The sequence below is a fragment of the Homo sapiens genome, chromosome 12 (assembly GCF_000001405.40).
Source record: "Homo sapiens chromosome 12, GRCh38.p14 Primary Assembly".
Lineage (NCBI taxonomy): Eukaryota > Metazoa > Chordata > Mammalia > Primates > Hominidae > Homo > Homo sapiens.
Window position 1 is genome coordinate 123,258,497 of NC_000012.12, and position 16,325 is coordinate 123,274,821.

Sequence of the window (16,325 nt, forward strand, 5' to 3'; positions counted from 1 at the left end):
ACGTTGATTTGCAAGATTTGTAAAGGTGAGGTTCCAGAATCTGATTTGCTTGTAAATTTACGTCACTTAAGCTGGATTTTACCTTACAGTTGTTTTTCTTTTAAAGCCATGCTTTATAGCTTGGCTTGTTAGAACTCTTCTGGAGTCCACGTAGAAAACAAATAGGGAAAAATGCTGAGAGGTGAGAAAGCCATTGGGAGATTGCCAGTTGCAGGGCCTCAGTTGTGCAGTCTGTCCAGCAGGCCTAGGCGGCATGTCCAGTAGGCCTAGGTGGCATGTCCAGTGCATACATCCAAGCACACCTTTCTCTTTGAGGCTGCCAATGAAGGCTCTTCTCACCTCAGTGACAGCTTTGGATGCTTACACATTCAATGCAGGGCTCATTCTACACCTCCTGTTGCGAGTGTACAGGACCCTTCCCCAGCCCAAACGCCCTGTAGAAAATAAAGGCTCTAGAACAACACCTAAGAAACCAGTAAGAGTGGGAGGGGAAATTTGGAGCTGGAGATAAGGGAGAATGGTTTCCGTTTGTCTCCTCTCTCATACCTTTGCAACTTTCTGCCACATGCAGGAAGGGGACACAGCACCCATTTCGCTAGAGCCTGTTCCTGCTGGCCTTCAGCCTTGTCATGGCTGAGAATTCGCCTCATGCCTGCATCAAAGAAAGACAAGTCTCTCTCATTTGTCTTTGTCTACTGCTCAGCAAAGCAAATTCTCATTGCAGGTATTTAGGGCCTAAGGTATAGAGTAAGAATTAAAATCCCTTTGGGAGGCACTGTCAGAGACCACCACGTGGACTCTCAACACATCCAGTGCAGCCCATTTTTTCCCTGGCACCAGAGCAGATAATTCTTCCAGTGAGCACCATATGAAGTAGCTTGAAGTTAGGAGCCGTACTTTATGAAAAAGATTCCTGTAGCACCCACCAAAAGCCCACAGGATAAGCACCTACGAACTGAGAATGGCCTAACCATGGGGTAACAGGCCAACTCAATAATACTGCTTCTGGCCGGGCGTGGTGGCTCACGCCTGTAAACCCAGCACTTTGGGAGGCCAAGGCGGCTGGGTCACCTGAGGTCAGAAGTTGGAGACCAGCCTGACCAACATGGTAAAATCCCATCTCTACTAAAAATACAAAAATTAGCTGGGTGTGGTGGCACGCTCCTGTAATCCAGCTACTCGGGAGGCTAAGCTGGGAAAATCGCTTGAACCTGGGAGGCAGAGATTGCAGTGAACCAACATCAAGCCACTGCACTCTAGCCTAGGCAACAGAGGGAGATTCCATCTAAAAAAAAAAAAATTTTTTTTTTAAAAACTGCTGCTGCTATTTTTTTTTCCTAGCATACACTTAAGTTTGCTGCACTTAAAATACACCCATAATGCAACTTCACTTTATCCCTACCTCTGACTTAGCAAACACATTCTTTCCCCAGCCAACTGTGCTAATGATATCACCAAAATGTTTCCGTGTCAGATGGGAAAATACAGTTTGAACAGGCATCTCCTACCTCTTGTAAAAGGTAAAGTAGAGGTTCCTCTCCAAAGACTTTCCTCCCCATTTAATTTGGAATAAACGGTAACTTCTCTTCGAAGCAAAATTTATTCAAAGACCTGTGCTAACATTCCTAATTATCTGCTAGCCGTGGTAAAGAAATCAATGTACTTTATGTTCTTAGCTCCCACAATTTAGCCTAAATATTTGTCCTGGCATGCTTACACTGGTCGGAGCAAGCATTAGGTCATAGCCTGTTCCTCTTCCTTATTTAAAAGTGTTTACCTTTCTCACCATTCCACAAGTTACTTTCTCCTTCCTTTGTTCTCTTCTGCCTTCGCCTCTTTTAAAAAGTTTTAAGTTGCTTCCCAATCAGGACAAATACAGAATATGAGGTCCCGTTCCAGCCAATGGAAACCGGACACAGCAGTAGGGTGGACGCATCAGGTTACAAATGACCCTGTCTCTTTGTTCGGTGTACTCTCGTGGCAAAACTGCTGGCGAATGTACCCTTTCTGCGGGAAGTAAAAATGGCCTTGCTGAGTAAATTAAATTTATGTTCAAGTGCTATTTCTTCACGGCACCGGGGAACAAGCATTTCAAACACTTTCATGAGAGATTATTTAAAATAGCACTTCTTTACACCAGGCGTGGTAGCTCACACCTATAATCCCAGTACTTTGAGAGGCTAAGGTGGAAGGATCACTTGAGCCCAGGATCCAGCCTAGGCAACATAGTGAGACCTCATCTCTGCAAAAAAAATTTTTTTTCCATCACACACCCATTCATTCAATACAAAAAGTCTTTTAAAAATTATTCAGGCATAGTGGCACACACCTGTAGTTCCAGCCACTAGGGAGGCTGAGATGGGAGGATTGCTTGAGCCCAGGAGGTTGAGGCTGCGGTGAGCCAAGATTATATTACTGCACTCCAGCCTGGGTGGCAAAACAAGACCCTGTCTCAAAAAAATAAAACAGCACGTAAGAATTCAAGGAACCCACATTTTAATACAAATTGTTAATGAAAATAAGCTTTATTACATCAAGTAATAAATACATACAAAGATGCAAACAGTTTTAGTCATTTTCTTCCAGATGTTTTTATCAACTTACAATAAACGCAGAACTGAGATCTACTTACAGTCTTAGTATGAAAGTGTTCGGGGGTCCTTGTTAGGTTTGGTGGGTTGCTCTTTCTTCTGTATTTATAACTTGTGCATTTTTAAAAATTGACTTTGAAGCACTAATAGTCATGCAAATGCTTAAGCAAAAAAGAAGTTACATTAAGCAGAACCTACATTGTATGGCAAATGGGAACCGGCTACTAAGTAAAGCGTGCTGTCAATATGCGTTCAAAACAAAATCCCTACAGTGGTATTAGCTTATGAAAAGGAACAAAGAACACCATGGGTAACAAATGTATACAAAAGAGAAGATTAAAGGGAGACAATGGTGTCTTGGAGGCAAACTACAGTTTGCTGTAAGATAACTTTCCGTGCATCTTTTAAATCAATGCTTAAAAAACAAAAAAAACCTGGGCAGTTCCTAACTACTTAAAATGCAAATCCTAATTAACTGCAAAATCTTTTCTCAATCTTTGAGACTGTAGGTTCAGAGCCAAGTGAACCATGGGAGGAAAAACGAAACTGTAACCATTTTGAAAACAAGGGTTTCATCTGAACAGGGGAGATGAACTGTAACTTCTCATCTTGTAAAAAGATGGAAATCCTTCAAAACCAACAAGGCAGCTAGGATCTGGCATTCCGTTCCGTTTCTGCCAAGCACTCCCGAACCAGTCCTCTAGCGTGAATGATGCCTGAAACAGAGGCAGAGACCTGAGGTCAGCAAGTGCACAGGACCAGCCAGCAAAGCCCATTCTGAAACAGCAAGAGGATCCATCCTTCCACAGCCTGTCCACAAAACCCTCAGACATAAAGAGAACCAGGGAAACCTATAACCAAGCAACCCTGAAGGACGCTAACAATCCCATCCCTCTCTAAAGCCCTTCCCTCCTCACCACAACTCTTCCTGTCTCTCTAAACATTTTTTCCTGCATTCAAGGTGCACCAGCAAGCTGTCCTTCCACGACACTGTTGGATGAAAGACATGTCTCCACCCAAATTCTTTTGCTTGACCCACTATGGAGATTTTTCTCTGGCTTCTTCAGTCTGAATTCTAGACAGGGCTTGACCGGCGTAAGTAAGCAAGAGAATGGCTTCAGCTGCACACGTGAGGGCGCAGAGAACTGACTACTACCCACGCGGGACCCTGGGTCCACGGGGACAACCCCACAAGACTGCAGCTACCTTCTGCCCGATGAATCTTCCCCAGTCTTTTGTCTCTGTGGTTTGGTGCTTACCTTTTTTTTCTTTCTGCCTCTACTGAACTTCATGAAATATGATCTTTTAATAGACACTAAGGATTCTATTCCTTCTAATACATGACTCCCAGAGGCCACTGGGAATGACATCCCACATCATCACCTCACAAATCTTAGAAACTAACTCAGAGCCTTGGAGAATGTTTTCTGTGAGGACCAGACAGCAAATATTTTGAGCTTTGCAGGCTACAGTCTCTGACACAACTACTTCACTCAAATTTTTTTTGAGACAGCATCTTGCCCTGTCACCCAGGCTGGAGTGCAGTGGCACGATCACAGCTCACTGCAGCCTCAACCTGCCAGGATCAGGTGATCCTCCCACCTCAGCCTCCGGAGAAGCTGGGACTATAGGCACGCACCACCATGCCTGGCTGTTTTATCATTATTTGTAGAGATGGGAGTTTCACTATGTTGCTCCTGGCTTTAGCCTCCCAAACTGCTGGATTACAGGCATGCACCATCACACCTGGACCCACAAACCTTTATTTATGAACACTTAAGTCTGAATTTCAGATAACTTTCACACGTCCCAAAATCATTTTTTTTTTCAACCATTAAGAACCATGCCTGTCGCGGTGGCTCACACCTGTAATCCCAGCACTTTCGGAGGCCGGGGCGGGTTGCCCACTTGAGGTCAGGAGTTTGAGACCAGCCTGGCCAACATGGTACAACCCCATCTCTACTAAAAATACAAAAATTAGATGGGCGTGGTGGTGGGCGCCTATAATCCCAGCTACTCGGGAGGCTGAGGCAGAACTGCTTGAACCCGGGAGGCGGAGGTTGCAGTGAGCCGAGATCGCGCCACTGCACTCCAGCCTGGGTGATAGAGCGAGACTCTGTCTCAAAAAAAAAAAAAAAACAAAAAAAAACCACTATTCTTGGCTCCTGGCTCTTGGGCTGTAGTTGCCAACCTACCTACAATGCTCCTAGCTCCTAACTCCCTGACCCCTCTATGACGTGTTTTCACCCTGCTGTGACATGAGCTTGGTAAGCTTGGGCTTGGCTGTTGGCCAAGGGGTAGCACTAGGTCTTCCTTGTTACTAAAAGACTGGCAGTTTGTACGCATTTGCTGACTTGAACCAGTGCCTTTTCTGGGTGACTGCAAATTACCTGTTGGACTCTGGGACCCAGCATCTTCCCAGGAATTTCCATTCAGGTAAGCAGCACCCCAGCTACCGGAGAGCAGCCCTGGGACCACCCAACTCTCCAGGCGAGACCAGGGTTGGGCTCTGCATCCCTTCCCCCAGGCCCTCTTCAATCACATCCTCTAACCCTGGTAGTCCCAACCTAGCTTTGAGACCCGTCAACCTCTTCACAAAGGTTTCATAAACTCCAGAGCAACCCCGCTCCTGGCAGCAGCCTGTCCTCAACTGGCCCTCGTGTCACTGGGGCATAACTTCAACTACAGCCCCCATTTATGCTACAGATTTACAACCAAAGAAAGTTCCTCTCCCAGGCCGGGCACGGTGGCTCAACGCCTGTAATCCCAGCACTTTGGGAGGCCAAGGCGGGAGGATCACAAGGTCAAGAAATCGAAACCATCCTGGCCAACCAACATGGCGAAACCTGGTCTCTACTAAAAATACAAAAATTAGCTGGGTATAGTGGCGCACGCCTGTAGTCCCAACTACTCGGGAGGCTTGAGGCAGGAAAATTGTTTGAACCCGGGAGGCGGAGGTTGCAGTGGGCCGAGATCGTGCCACTGCACTCCAGCCCAGGTGACAGAGCTAGACTCCATCTCAAAAAAAAAAAAAAGAATGTTCCTCTCCCAGGTTGCTTCTCCAGCCTTTTTAAGAACCCCAAGTCCCAGGCCGGGCGTGGTGGCTCACGCCTGTAATGCCAGCACTTTGGGAGGCCAAGGCAGGTGGATCACCTGAGGTTGGGAGTTCAAGACCAGGCTGACCAACTTGGAGAAACCCTGTCTCTACTAAAAATACAAAAAATTAGACAGGTGTGGTGGCACATGCCTGTAATCCCAGCTACTTGGGAGGCTGAGGCAGGAGAATCGCTTGAACCCAGGAGGCGGAGGTTGCGGTGAGCCGAGATTGCACCACTGCACTCCAGCCTGGGCAACAAGAGTAAAACTCCGTCTCCCAAAAAAAAAAAAAAAAAAAAAAAAAAAAAGAGCCCCAAGTCTCCCCTCATCTTGAATGCGTTCATGGGCTATGGCTCTGCTGCACTGTCGCCTTCTAAAATAGAAATCCTGTCCTACCTCCACTCCCCTTTTATTTCAGAAGGTAGCAACCTATTTAACGTCCTTTCGAAATCAGACGGACAGTCACACCTTAACACGAGTCCCTTGTGCTCTGTCATCTCCTGCCTGCCCTCCCTCTCCAACCATTAAAGAACAAAGTGCTCTCAGCCTCCCTCCCCAGACCCTAGCACAGACCCACACACTTCCTTGGGTCTCCCTCCAAAGAGGTGACAGCAGAGGGCAGTGCAGGCACCGATGAACCCTGAGCTTGGCTTCCCTAGGACCAGTGTCGGCCCACAGGAGCAGACCAGGCAGGGTCGGGGGCAGGGGGCACTTCGAACACACCCTTGAAAGCCAGCAGACCCCCTGGCAGCACACAGGGTAAGAAGGGCTCCCTGCCTGGGCTGCCCTTCCCAGAAGACCCCTCTGAAGACATCCAGCCCCCCAGGCCCCTCGCTACCAGACCCATCGCCTGCCTGAGGCCTCCACCACAGACGGCAACTCTGTAACAAGACAGGAGCTCCCATGAGTGAGCCTCATCCCTAGCCCACCTTCCCACATTTTCCCCAAAAGTCTTTCCAGAGTTAAAGGTCTAGCACTGTGGTCACCGACAGGGCAGCGGGGCCGGGCTTACCGCGCTTCAGCCTCTCCATGGCACTCTTGCTCCCTGCGTACGTGGGTCTGATCTCCTTCCCCAGCTCTTCAATGATGGCCAGCAGCTCCGCGTATTTGCTTTGGGGCACCTGGCTGTTCCCAGTTCCCTAGAATCAGAAAGAAATGGGTTCAGCAAAATCAGCCGGGCGTGGTGGTGCGTGCCTGTAGTCCCAGTTACTCAGGAGGCTGAGGCAGGAGAACTGCTTGGACCCAGGAGGTGGAAGTTGCAGTGAGCCAAGATCACTCCACTGCACTCCAGCCTGGGCAACAGAGCGAGACTCCATCTCGGGGGAAAAAAAAAAAAAAGGGTTCAGCAGCCTGACCCCAAGGCCACAGGCAGGTGGGTGGAGAGGGCCCCGGGCCGGTCAGGATAGGGAACGCAGCCCAGCCTCAGACTTCTGGGGCAGCCACCTCAGCTGGGCCAAGGCACGTCCCATTCTAGGGGACAACTACAAGTTAGGGAGATGGTCCTCACCCTCCTATCCTCACACACTCAGGGAGGCCACCCAGTCGTCTCCAGGAAGCAACTTTATTATCTCCAATGAACAAAACAGGGGAAACAGCTCATTTTGGCACAAAAGAGTCCAAACAGCATTTCCCAGGATGCAGATGGATGGGAGGGCACATCCCAGGTGCCAAGCCTCCAAGCCAGTGGGGAGACAAGAGGCCACACCTGGGCCACCAGGACCACAGCGATCCGCCATGGCCCAGCCAGAGCCTGGAATGCATTCCCTTCTCTCATCCTCCCACCAACAGGGCCCAACCCCCAGAAAACCTTTCCTCCCACCACCACTGGGAGCCCCACAGCAAGCACCCGGATCAGCGAGGCTGGGCTTCCGGCAAGCCCACAAGCCCGCAAGCCCACAAGCCCAGGCTACCTCCCCTTGGCCACCTCCTCCCATAGACACGCCAGCTCCCTGGGCGAGGTCCTTGCCTCCCCCCTCCTCCACCACCGCCTCTGTCCCCTGGCCTCGCGCTCTGTCCTGTCCTCGTCCTGCTCCGGCTGCTCTGCCTCCCCACGGCACTGCCTCCAGGCCTCACGGGCCTCCCGCCTGTCCTGGCGCCGCCGTCGCATGGCCAGAACGTGGCACTGCCAACTCCCGGCTGCCCCTCTGCCTGGCCTCCCACAGCCACCGCTTCTTCAGCCGGTCCCGCTCACAGGCCCACACCTGCTTCTCCTCCTGGGGCAGGGCAGCCTGGTGGGGCATGGCCGGGGAGCCGCCCACTTGGCGAGGAACAGGCTCCATAGCGACCTCAGAACACTGGTGCTGGGGCCCAGCCAGGGAGAGCATCTTCCCGCTGGGACCTTCCCCGGGGCGGCTCATCCCTTGGAGATGTAGGGTGCAGCTGAGATGGTGGCGGCCCCATTCCTGCTGTTCGCCAGCCTGGGCTGGGGGTACTAGGATCACCCTTGGGCTGATGAGGAGCCCGGGTCTTGGGCAGTTACCAAGTGGGGGGTCACAGTCTGGAAAGTGGTGGAACCAGGGAGCGGCCTCGCCCAGGCCACACTCTCAAATACTGGCCCTCGACAAAAGGCAGCTGGGCTCTCAAGACAGGGCCACCTCCTCTCTGCTGGGCCCGCGCCCGTGGAGAGCAAGTGGGAACTGACCCTATCTTCTGTCCCAGCTTGGAGAGCCAGCATCAAGGTCAGGCCTCACTTGCCCAAGAAAGAGGAGTGAGGAGGCCCACTGGAGGAACGCGTGGGGTGGGAGCCTCAGCACAGCTTGGGCTGCTGCCCCTTCCTGGTGCTCTCCTGTCCCCTCCACCTCACACGTCCCCGCGAAGCACAGTCCCCAGTGCCCTCCACTCTGATGTGTTCTGAGCAGGAGCGCAGCCAGGGCCTTGGGCTGAGAAAGCTCCGTCCCATCCTTTCTGCTCCTTCGTCTCTTCCACCAACTTCTCTCCTCTGATGGTGGGAAGCATGTCTCCCCCTGGCCCTCCCACCATGCCATCACCCCCATTGACATACCTGGGTGTAGCCTAGGGACGGTGGCCCGTAGTCACTGAGCAGCTGGCGGTACTGTGAAGACGTTGCCATGCTGGTGGAAGGCGAGTGGACACTCCCAGCTGTGGGGTGGGGAGAGAGAGGCCAGGAGTCAGCTCAGCCAGTTGTACCAAGGCAAGGACTCCGGGTCCTGCAACAGCCCTTGCCCAGGACCCACACCACCAACTGTAGCAGGATGGAGAACCCTGCTCTCCACCTCCGGTTTGACCAGCATATAAGATGGATAATGAAATGTAGCTACAAGGCACCTGACCATCCCCAGCTCTGCAGCAGCCGCTGGTCCTCACAGAGCTCCATCCCATCCAACCAGAACCTTCCAAGCAGCAGGGCTGCTCCCAAAGATAAAATTATTGCCACTCCTGGCCTGAACTCTGCCCATCCCCTCTCCCTGTGTCCTGGTCCCCAGAGGCTGAGAACCTAGAGGCCACATCACACCACAGCGCCACATAGGCTGGTCGAAACCAGGCTGAGCTTCCAAGCCTTTTTGCTTCTATGCGCTCAAATCTCTGCTGTGCTCAATGACAGGGAAGACAGGAAGGCCTTGGAGTATTTGAGACCCAACCCTGGCTGGAGACAGGCACGCTGGACATCAAATCAGAAATCTAGAGAACACCATGGCCTCTGTGTGCCCCAGATAAAGCCCCTCAACCCCTCTGTGCCTGTCTCCCCCTCCCCAAAGAGGGGACCAGACTCTTAGCAGTCTATGCCCCAAGGGCTCTGTATCCCAAGACAGGAGGGTTGAGGCCCCACATATGGGATGCAACATTGGGGCCTGTCCAGAGCTGCAGTCAGTGACCAAGCAGGGCCCAGCCCAGAACGCAGCCTCCTGGATCTGGCAGGGGAGTCCGTGGCTAGGAGCACGCGGCCCCGCAATGGCGTCCCAGTGGCCATTAGCGGGTAAAGGATATCCTGCAGAATGACAAACAGCGGTAACCATGGAGAATTTACCTAGTCCTCCTCGGCAGCTGCCCGCCTGCCGCCCCCAGAGCCACACGGTCTCTCTCTCACACACACAGTGGGCGCCGCAGACTTGGCCTCGGGGACAGACAGCTGGTGCCAGGCTGGCCAAACCCACCAGCTGCTCGCTTGGTGTGGGTGAGGGGAGGGGCAGAGGAGGAAGGAAGTTCAGGGCCTCAAGCTGGGGGAGCCGGGAGGAGCACTGGAGAACCCTGGCTCCAGGCCCCTCGATTTAGAGAAATGGACCTGAAGGGGTGGCCCCAGGGCACACAGCATAGAGGAGACCAAAGCAGGGAGCCAGCTACCCCGGCACCTGCCCCTCTCTCCGAGAACGGGGACCGTTCCGAGCTGTCTCCTGAGTCTCAGGCCAGCCCTGGATGCTGCCACTGCAGCCCAGGGTTATGCTCCAGCTTGGGCTGGAACTGCAAACGTGGACTTGGATCCTGAACTGGGCAGAGCACCGTGCCACTCCGAGCCTCAGTTTCCACGCCTCCCACGTGGGGATGATGAGACACATGCGGATGATGAGACACGTGCGCTATAGGGGCGGGTTGCTTGGGAGGGGGACGCACAACGCCCACGATATCTGGCACGTCCATGGCCACTGCAGGAATTGGGCAGGGTGATGTCCCCCAGAGCCCCCTAACTACATCAGCCAAACCCCAGTTTCCTGAGCTTCTGATGTGGCAGCAAGCATGGCATGGCGAACACAGGCTCTGCCGGCACAGACCTGGGTTCTGATCCTGGTCACTACACCTCTCTGGCTCCAGGGCCAGTCGCTGGGGGTAGCATCGCGCACAGCACCCCAGGCGTTTGCAAGATCCCAGCGCCCTGGCAGGAGGGGTGCTGGCCACTTCCCACGCACCCTCGCATTCCCTCGGTGTGCCCCCGTCCTCTTCCCCAACTGCTCTGCCCACTGCTCCTCACCTCCCCTTTTCTGTCCTCCCCACTGGACTTCGTGCCAGCCCCAGCTGTGCCACTCCTGGCTGTGTGACCTCAGACAGGCTCCCCGCCCTCCAGTCCTCAGTTTCTCCATTTGTTAGAGGCAGTGCTTCCCAAGAGAAGGTCTATGGGCTCCAGTTCCTACTATTTGATGATACTGGGGTTAGGTTTTGCAGGGCTGAGAGGGAGGAGGAAGGAGAAATCGTCCCATTTTGGCTGGGGGACGAGGAGCAATAGCTCGGTGACCCCAGTGCTCTGTCCAGGCCACTCCCTTGTTCGGGGGCGGGGGGGTGTCTAGTCCTGGAGAGAGATGGCGGAAGGGCTCCGAGTTCCACTCCTGGTCACTCCTTCCTGCAGACACAGGGACCAGGACACAGGGACCACGTCAGCGAAGGCCGTCTCGGCGCATCTCAGACAATGAGCGCAGTGTGCAGGAGCGAGGGGTTGGCAGAGGCCAGGAAGCTCCTGGGGCCAGGCGCGGCTCCCCACCCCCACGCCAGACAAAGAGCGCGGGGCCTGGGGAGCTGGCGGCCTTCCCGCCACTTGGGGCGCCTGGGGGGCTCTGGGGCGGGGGAGGCGGGGGCTTTGTCTAACTCCGCCACTGCCACCACCGGCCAGGCCGCGGCTTGGCAACCCGTGAACAGGAGGCAGGGCTGCAGGGCGTGAGGGATGATGACAAGGAAGCCGGAGGAGCAGCGGCGGCAGCGGAGAGTCCATCTTGGATGCAAATGGCAGGAGGGGAGCTGGGGTTCTGCAAAGGGGCCCGTGGGGGGTTGGGAGGGGCACCAAAAAGCCCAGATCTGGGGATCTCGGCACTCCTGGAATTCTCCACAGGACAAAGAAGAAAAGCTGAGTACAGGTCCAGCCAGCCCAGAACAGGACTTCAGGGGTCCCCGTGAGTGCCGCTGTCCCTGTGACCCCAAACCCCGAGGGTCCCAGTTTAGGGCCCCGGCCCCAATGACACCAGGGTAAGCCTGAGCTCAGCCTTGCCCAGGCTGGCAACACCAGCCCCTGCCCTCCCCACAGGCCAGAGGAAGAAGGCTGCTGGCAGTCCTACCTGGCAACAAAGCCCGTCTTTGTAAGGTCTGCGGACCCCAGAGGAGGTGAGAATGTTTGAGAAAAAAACAGTGGCTGTTTGCTCTTTGGGACTCCGAGCCCACAAGTGAGCAATTCAACTCTCCCTCCGCACCCTGACGCTTAACCCTTTCCTGCCCCTACACCTCAGTGTCCAAGATTTTTTTTAGGTATCGTTTTTATGGGTCCCACTTCCGATTTGGGGGGTTACGAGGTCAACGTTTGCAAACAAGGCCCAAAACTCGAGCAGGAGAGCCAGCGTGGCACCGGTGACCAACGGGGCCACTCCTCTCCCCGTCGAGTCCTTCCCCCCATCCCGCCCCGCAACACAACCGCCTTTTGGGAAGTCTGTTTCCGACCAAGTGTCAGAGAAGAAGGGCCCCAGTGAGGTCACAAAGCCCGGCACCTACGAATCCCTCAATGTTGTGCCCACTCCCCATGGCTCCCTCGGTCCCCTGGGCTCAGCCCGAAGCTGCCTGACAACTTCTGGAGGAGTTTCCTGGGAGCGCCCGGCTGCGGCCGCAGCCCCAGGAAGCTTGAGGGGAGCCCCTCCCGGCTTCTGCATCGAGGGCCTTCCAGGGCCAGCCCTTGGGGGCTCCCAGATGGGGCGTCCACGTGACCCACTGCCCCCACGCCCGCGCGCGGGCCCCAGCAGCCCCAGAGCTGCGCCAACTTCGTTCACTCCGCGCTCACCTTACGGGGGTCCCCGCGTGACCGCATGGGGTAGCCCCTGCTCCCACGCTCCCGGCCGAGGCCCCCGGGCCTCCGAGTACGCTGCCCGCCGGCGACCCCATCCTGGTCCCAGTCCCGGCGGCCCCGCGACCTCAGGGCCCCCGGCAGCCCGGCAGCCCCGCAGCCCCGCAGCCCCGCAGCCCTCCATCCGCGCCCGCCCGCGCGGGTCCTGGCCCTGCCCGCAGCGCCCCCCGCCCGGGCTGCTTCACGACCCCGCTCCCCAGGGCGGCGGGGCCCCGCGCCCCGCTCCCGGCGCGGCCCGGGCCGCTCCCGACTCCCGCCGGCAGGGGCCCTCGCCGAGCCGCCCAGAAGCCGGAGGAAAAAGGAGCCGAGAACAAGCCTCCCCCGCCCTCGCCCTCGCCCGCCGCGCTCCCTGCGATCCGCAGCCGCCGGCGCGGGGGTCACCCCGGGCCGCCCGCCCCGCACCCCCAGCCGAGGCCCTCGGCGTGCGGGGCGCACCAGAGAACTTTCGCGGCGCGGGCTCGGGAATCATGGCGGCGGCAGCGCTGCCCCGGGCCGGGACCCTGAGCCCCCCGCCCCCGGCCTCCGCGGGCGCCCCGGGCATCCCCGGGCCGGGGCCGGGCGCGCGGACCCCCAACTTGGCGGCGCTTGGGGCGCGTCGCACGCGGCTCACTCACCGGCGTTGAGGGCGGCGGCGGGCATGTGCGCGGCCAAGTTCGGTTTGTAAGACATCCCCCCGGGCGGCGGGCGCGCCGGGCGCGGCGGGGCCAGGCCGCGAGGGCGGCGGCGGCGGCGGCGAGGCCGGGCGGTAGCGCTGCAGCCCCGCGCCCGTCCGAGCGCCCGCCGAGCGCCCGCGCACTTTTTGTTGTCGGCGGCTCGGGCCGCGCCGGCAAATATGGCCGTCCGCGCCCTGCCGCCGCCGCAGTCTCACCCAGGCCCCGGGTGCGGCGCAGGGGCGGCCGCAAACTTTCCGCGGAGCCGGCGGGGCGGCCGGGGCCGGGAGGGGGCGGCCCGGCGTCAGGGGGCGGCTCCGCCTGCGGCCGCGCCCCGCGCCTCCGGGTGCGCTCGGCGCCCGCAACTTGCCAAAGTTTGGGGGGCTGGGGTCCCGGCGGCGCCTGAGGCCCGCGCGCGTCCGGGCGGCTGCCCCGCGCCCGGCGCCCCGGGGGTGTGCTGGGGGCCGGTCCCGCGGCGGCTGCGGGAGGCCAGGGCGAACCGGAATCCGAAGAGCACTTTCTTCCCCTTGATGGTGGGGGCAGGGATGGAAAATTACCTGGAGAAAATGGTGGCGAGTGGTGTATTTAAGCACGTAGATCATTCCAGACGCCCAGGTCTGGCCAAGCCCCAGGATTAGAATAACCGATGCTTGACATTGATTTCAAATAAATTTCATGTCTCTGTCTGTATGAAGTGGTTTTTAACCCTTTGGGGATCCAAGACTCCTTTGAGACTGACAAAAGCTTAGAGGCCTTCTCCACCCCTCACCCCCCTCCCCGGAAAACTCATCCCTGAATCGCACAATTTCGTGCGTAGACTCACTCCAGTATTTAAGGGAAGCACCTACTATGCGCCACTCACTGTTCCAAGCGCTGAGGATACAAGAATTGAACTTGGCAAAGTTTCTACCCCCTGGAGTTTACGGGACAATTTTAGATCCTCCTTCGACCCCACCCCCAGCCCATCCTTGGATCCGATTGAAATGTAACCATCCAGTGTATTTTGGATTTGGATTAGATGAATAACCTGAAGGTTGTGGGGTTTTTTGGGGTTTTTTTTTTTTTTAATCTTGGAGTTCTGCCGAAGTAGTAAAGCTCGTTAAAATACATAAGATGCCCACCCTTTTCTGTTGTTTTTAATCGTCATGGTTTGCAGATTTAATTAGACACAGGCGTGCAAGCATCATCTCCGGATCTGATGACAAAGGCACCCACCTAGGGATGCCCACCCAGGCCTGCTTCTTCCTTTAGGACCAAAGGCGCAGGCGACGACACCCCCTCCCCAGCTTAACCCCCATCCTTGAGATCAGCTGTAGGCCAGCACTAGCGAAGAATGCTCAGTGAAACCTTATTCCATGAATAAATTAATGCCACCCATGTGGCTGGTCCCGGGCGCCCAGTCCTTTAGAGCAGCGCAGTCCAATGGAAATAGAATGCCAGCCACATAGCTAATTTTCAATTTTTCAGTAGTCACATTTGAGAAAGTCAAAAAACACTGGTGAAATTGATTTTAACATGTTTTATTTAATACAATAGCTCCAGAACAGCGTGATTTCACTATATAATGAATTGAAAGGAATTATTAATAAGACACTTTACATTCTCTTATCATACGAAGTCTTCGCAATCCAGTGTGTGTTTTATACTTACAACGCATTTTAATTCAGACTAGCCACGTTTCAGCGCTCAGTAGCCACCATAGCTAGGGGTCACCGTATTGAACAGTGCAGGGCTGCAGCTACTAGCGGAGGGCTCCTGCGACGGACACACCGGGTACTGACTCTGACTCCCCCACCCACTGGCTGTTTGACTAGGCCTCCATTTCTTCGGGGCAAGAATCCAGATCTCAGTGGCAGGCCCGGTCCTTTCTATGAGTGCTCTGAACCGATCTATTTCCATATTGTTATTTAAGAACCGGGGTCTCCCTCTGTCACCCAGGCTGGAGTGCAGTGGCTTGATCGTAGCTCACTGTAGTCTTGAACTATTGGGCTCAAGTGATCCTCCCGCCTCCACCTCCATCTCAAAGCACTGGGATAACAGGCGTCAGCCAATAGCGTTGTATTTTTTCCATTGTCCCCACTCCTCGCTCTAAGTCCATGGCATCATTTTAAAACTGTTGGCCGAGCACAGTGGCTAACGCCTGTAACCCCAACACTTTGGGAGGCCGAGGCGGGCAGATCACGAGGTCGGGAGATCGAGACTAGCCTGGCCAACATGGCAAAAACCCGTCTCTACTAAAAATAGAAAAAATTAGCGGGGCGTGGTGGCAGGCGCCTGTAATCCCAGCTACTCGGGAGGCTGAGACAGGAGAATTGCTTGAAACCGGGAGGAGGTTGCAGTGAGCCAAGATCCTGCCACTTGCACTCCAGCCTGGGTGACAGAGCAAGATTCCACCTCAGAAAAAAAAAATTTCAGCTCACGCCTGTAATCCCAGCACTTTGGGAGGGCGAGGCAGGCGGATCACCTGAGGTCAGGAGATCCAGACTAGCTTGGCCAACATAGTGAAACCCCATCTTAACTAAAATTACAAAAAGTAGGCGGGCGTGGTGGTGCGTGCCTGTAGTCCCAGCTACTCGAGAGGCTGAGGCAGAATTGCTTGAACCGACGAGGCGGAGGTTGCAGTGAGCCAAGATCGAGCCACTGCACTCAAACCCGGGTGACGGTGAGACTCCGTCACAAAGAAAAAAAAAAAGTTTCAGCTGGGCACGATGGCTCACTTCTGTAATCCCAGCACTATGGAAGACCAAGGCAGGCAGATCAATTGAGCCCAGGGGTTCAAGACCAGCATGGGCAGCATAGAAAGAACCCATGTCGCCAGGCCCGGTGGCTCACACCTGTAATCCCAGCACTTTGGGAGGCCGAGGCAGGCGGATCACGAGGTCAGGAGATCGAGACCATCCTGACTAACACGGTGAAACCCCGTCTCTACTAAAAATACAAAAAAATTAGCCCGGCAAGGTGGCGGGCGCCTGTAGTCCCAGCTACTCGGGAGGCTGAGGCAGGAGAATGGCGTGAACCCGGGAGGCGGAGCTTGCAGTGAGACTAGATCGCGCCACTGCACTCCAGCCTGGGCGACAGAGCGAGACTCCGTTTCAAAATAAGAAAGAAAGAAAGAGAGAAAGAGAGAGAGAGAAAGAAAGAGAAAGAAAAAGAAAGAAGGAAGGAAGGAAGGAAGGAAAGAAAGAAAGAAAAAGAAGAAAGAAAGAAAGAAAGAAAGAAAGA

At 55.4% G+C, this 16,325-nt stretch overlaps 1 protein-coding gene across 5 annotated transcripts, besides 9 other annotated features; it reads right to left on the reverse strand.

Annotated features, from left to right (window-relative positions):
• CDK2AP1 (cyclin dependent kinase 2 associated protein 1) lies at positions 2,480-13,744 on the reverse strand. Of its 5 annotated transcripts, none has more exons than NR_073007.2 (4): positions 13,661-13,744; positions 8,689-8,786; positions 6,700-6,826; positions 2,480-3,307 (listed from the first exon to the last, which is right to left on the reverse strand). NR_073007.2 is itself a non-coding variant. In NM_004642.4 (4 exons), the coding sequence occupies exons 1-4, from the start codon at positions 13,120-13,122 to the stop codon at positions 3,240-3,242; spliced, it is 348 nt and encodes a 115-aa protein (NP_004633.1). In that variant the 5' UTR covers positions 13,123-13,360; the 3' UTR covers positions 2,480-3,239. The 5 variants fall into 5 exon arrangements, 3 of the variants coding, with proteins under 3 accessions (NP_004633.1, NP_001257362.1, NP_001257363.1); NR_073008.2 differs by lacking the exon at positions 13,661-13,744 and adding an exon at positions 12,391-12,755; NM_004642.4 differs by lacking the exon at positions 13,661-13,744 and adding an exon at positions 13,068-13,360.
• Positions 6,542-6,734: a silencer, noted in NCBI's record as "fragment chr12:123749585-123749777 (GRCh37/hg19 assembly coordinates)". NCBI's record gives its function as "represses an EF-1alpha promoter that drives an FKBP-Casp9 reporter gene in an ReSE screen in HepG2 liver carcinoma cells {active_cell/tissue: HepG2}" and the evidence as "EXISTENCE:reporter gene assay evidence [ECO:0000049][PMID:32094911]".
• Positions 10,800-10,859: an enhancer, noted in NCBI's record as "active region_7258". NCBI's record gives its function as "activates an Ori minimal core promoter by ATAC-STARR-seq in GM12878 lymphoblastoid cells {active_cell/tissue: GM12878}" and the evidence as "EXISTENCE:reporter gene assay evidence [ECO:0000049][PMID:35858748]".
• Positions 11,120-11,319: a silencer, noted in NCBI's record as "silent region_5032". NCBI's record gives its function as "represses an Ori minimal core promoter by ATAC-STARR-seq in GM12878 lymphoblastoid cells {active_cell/tissue: GM12878}" and the evidence as "EXISTENCE:reporter gene assay evidence [ECO:0000049][PMID:35858748]".
• Positions 11,416-12,164: an enhancer, noted in NCBI's record as "NANOG-H3K27ac-H3K4me1 hESC enhancer chr12:123754459-123755207 (GRCh37/hg19 assembly coordinates)". NCBI's record gives its function as "activates a minimal SCP1, AML or CMV promoter by ChIP-STARR-seq in primed H9 embryonic stem cells {active_cell/tissue: H9 hESC(primed)}" and the evidence as "EXISTENCE:reporter gene assay evidence [ECO:0000049][PMID:30033119]".
• Positions 12,630-12,889: a silencer, noted in NCBI's record as "silent region_5033". NCBI's record gives its function as "represses an Ori minimal core promoter by ATAC-STARR-seq in GM12878 lymphoblastoid cells {active_cell/tissue: GM12878}" and the evidence as "EXISTENCE:reporter gene assay evidence [ECO:0000049][PMID:35858748]".
• Positions 13,180-13,259: a silencer, noted in NCBI's record as "silent region_5034". NCBI's record gives its function as "represses an Ori minimal core promoter by ATAC-STARR-seq in GM12878 lymphoblastoid cells {active_cell/tissue: GM12878}" and the evidence as "EXISTENCE:reporter gene assay evidence [ECO:0000049][PMID:35858748]".
• Positions 13,180-13,727: a biological region, named in NCBI's record as "H3K27ac hESC enhancer GRCh37_chr12:123756263-123756770".
• Positions 13,220-13,727: an enhancer, noted in NCBI's record as "H3K27ac hESC enhancer chr12:123756263-123756770 (GRCh37/hg19 assembly coordinates)". NCBI's record gives its function as "activates a minimal SCP1, AML or CMV promoter by ChIP-STARR-seq in naive and primed H9 embryonic stem cells {active_cell/tissue: H9 hESC(naive and primed)}" and the evidence as "EXISTENCE:reporter gene assay evidence [ECO:0000049][PMID:30033119]".
• Positions 13,270-13,479: a silencer, noted in NCBI's record as "silent region_5035". NCBI's record gives its function as "represses an Ori minimal core promoter by ATAC-STARR-seq in GM12878 lymphoblastoid cells {active_cell/tissue: GM12878}" and the evidence as "EXISTENCE:reporter gene assay evidence [ECO:0000049][PMID:35858748]".

Bases quoted from the DNA above. Each gene is read 5' to 3' on its own strand.
- CDK2AP1 (NM_004642.4), bottom strand. From the start codon at position 13,122: ATGTCTTACAAACCGAACTTGGCCGCGCACATGCCCGCCGCCGCCCTC. The intron at 8,787-13,067 runs GTGAGTGAGCCG...CCCACCCCACAG, and splicing joins CGCCGCCGCCCTCAACGCCG to CTGGGAGTGTCCACTCGCCT. The intron at 6,827-8,688 runs GTATGTCAATGG...TTCTGATTCTAG, and splicing joins CGTCCCTAGGCTACACCCAG to GGAACTGGGAACAGCCAGGT.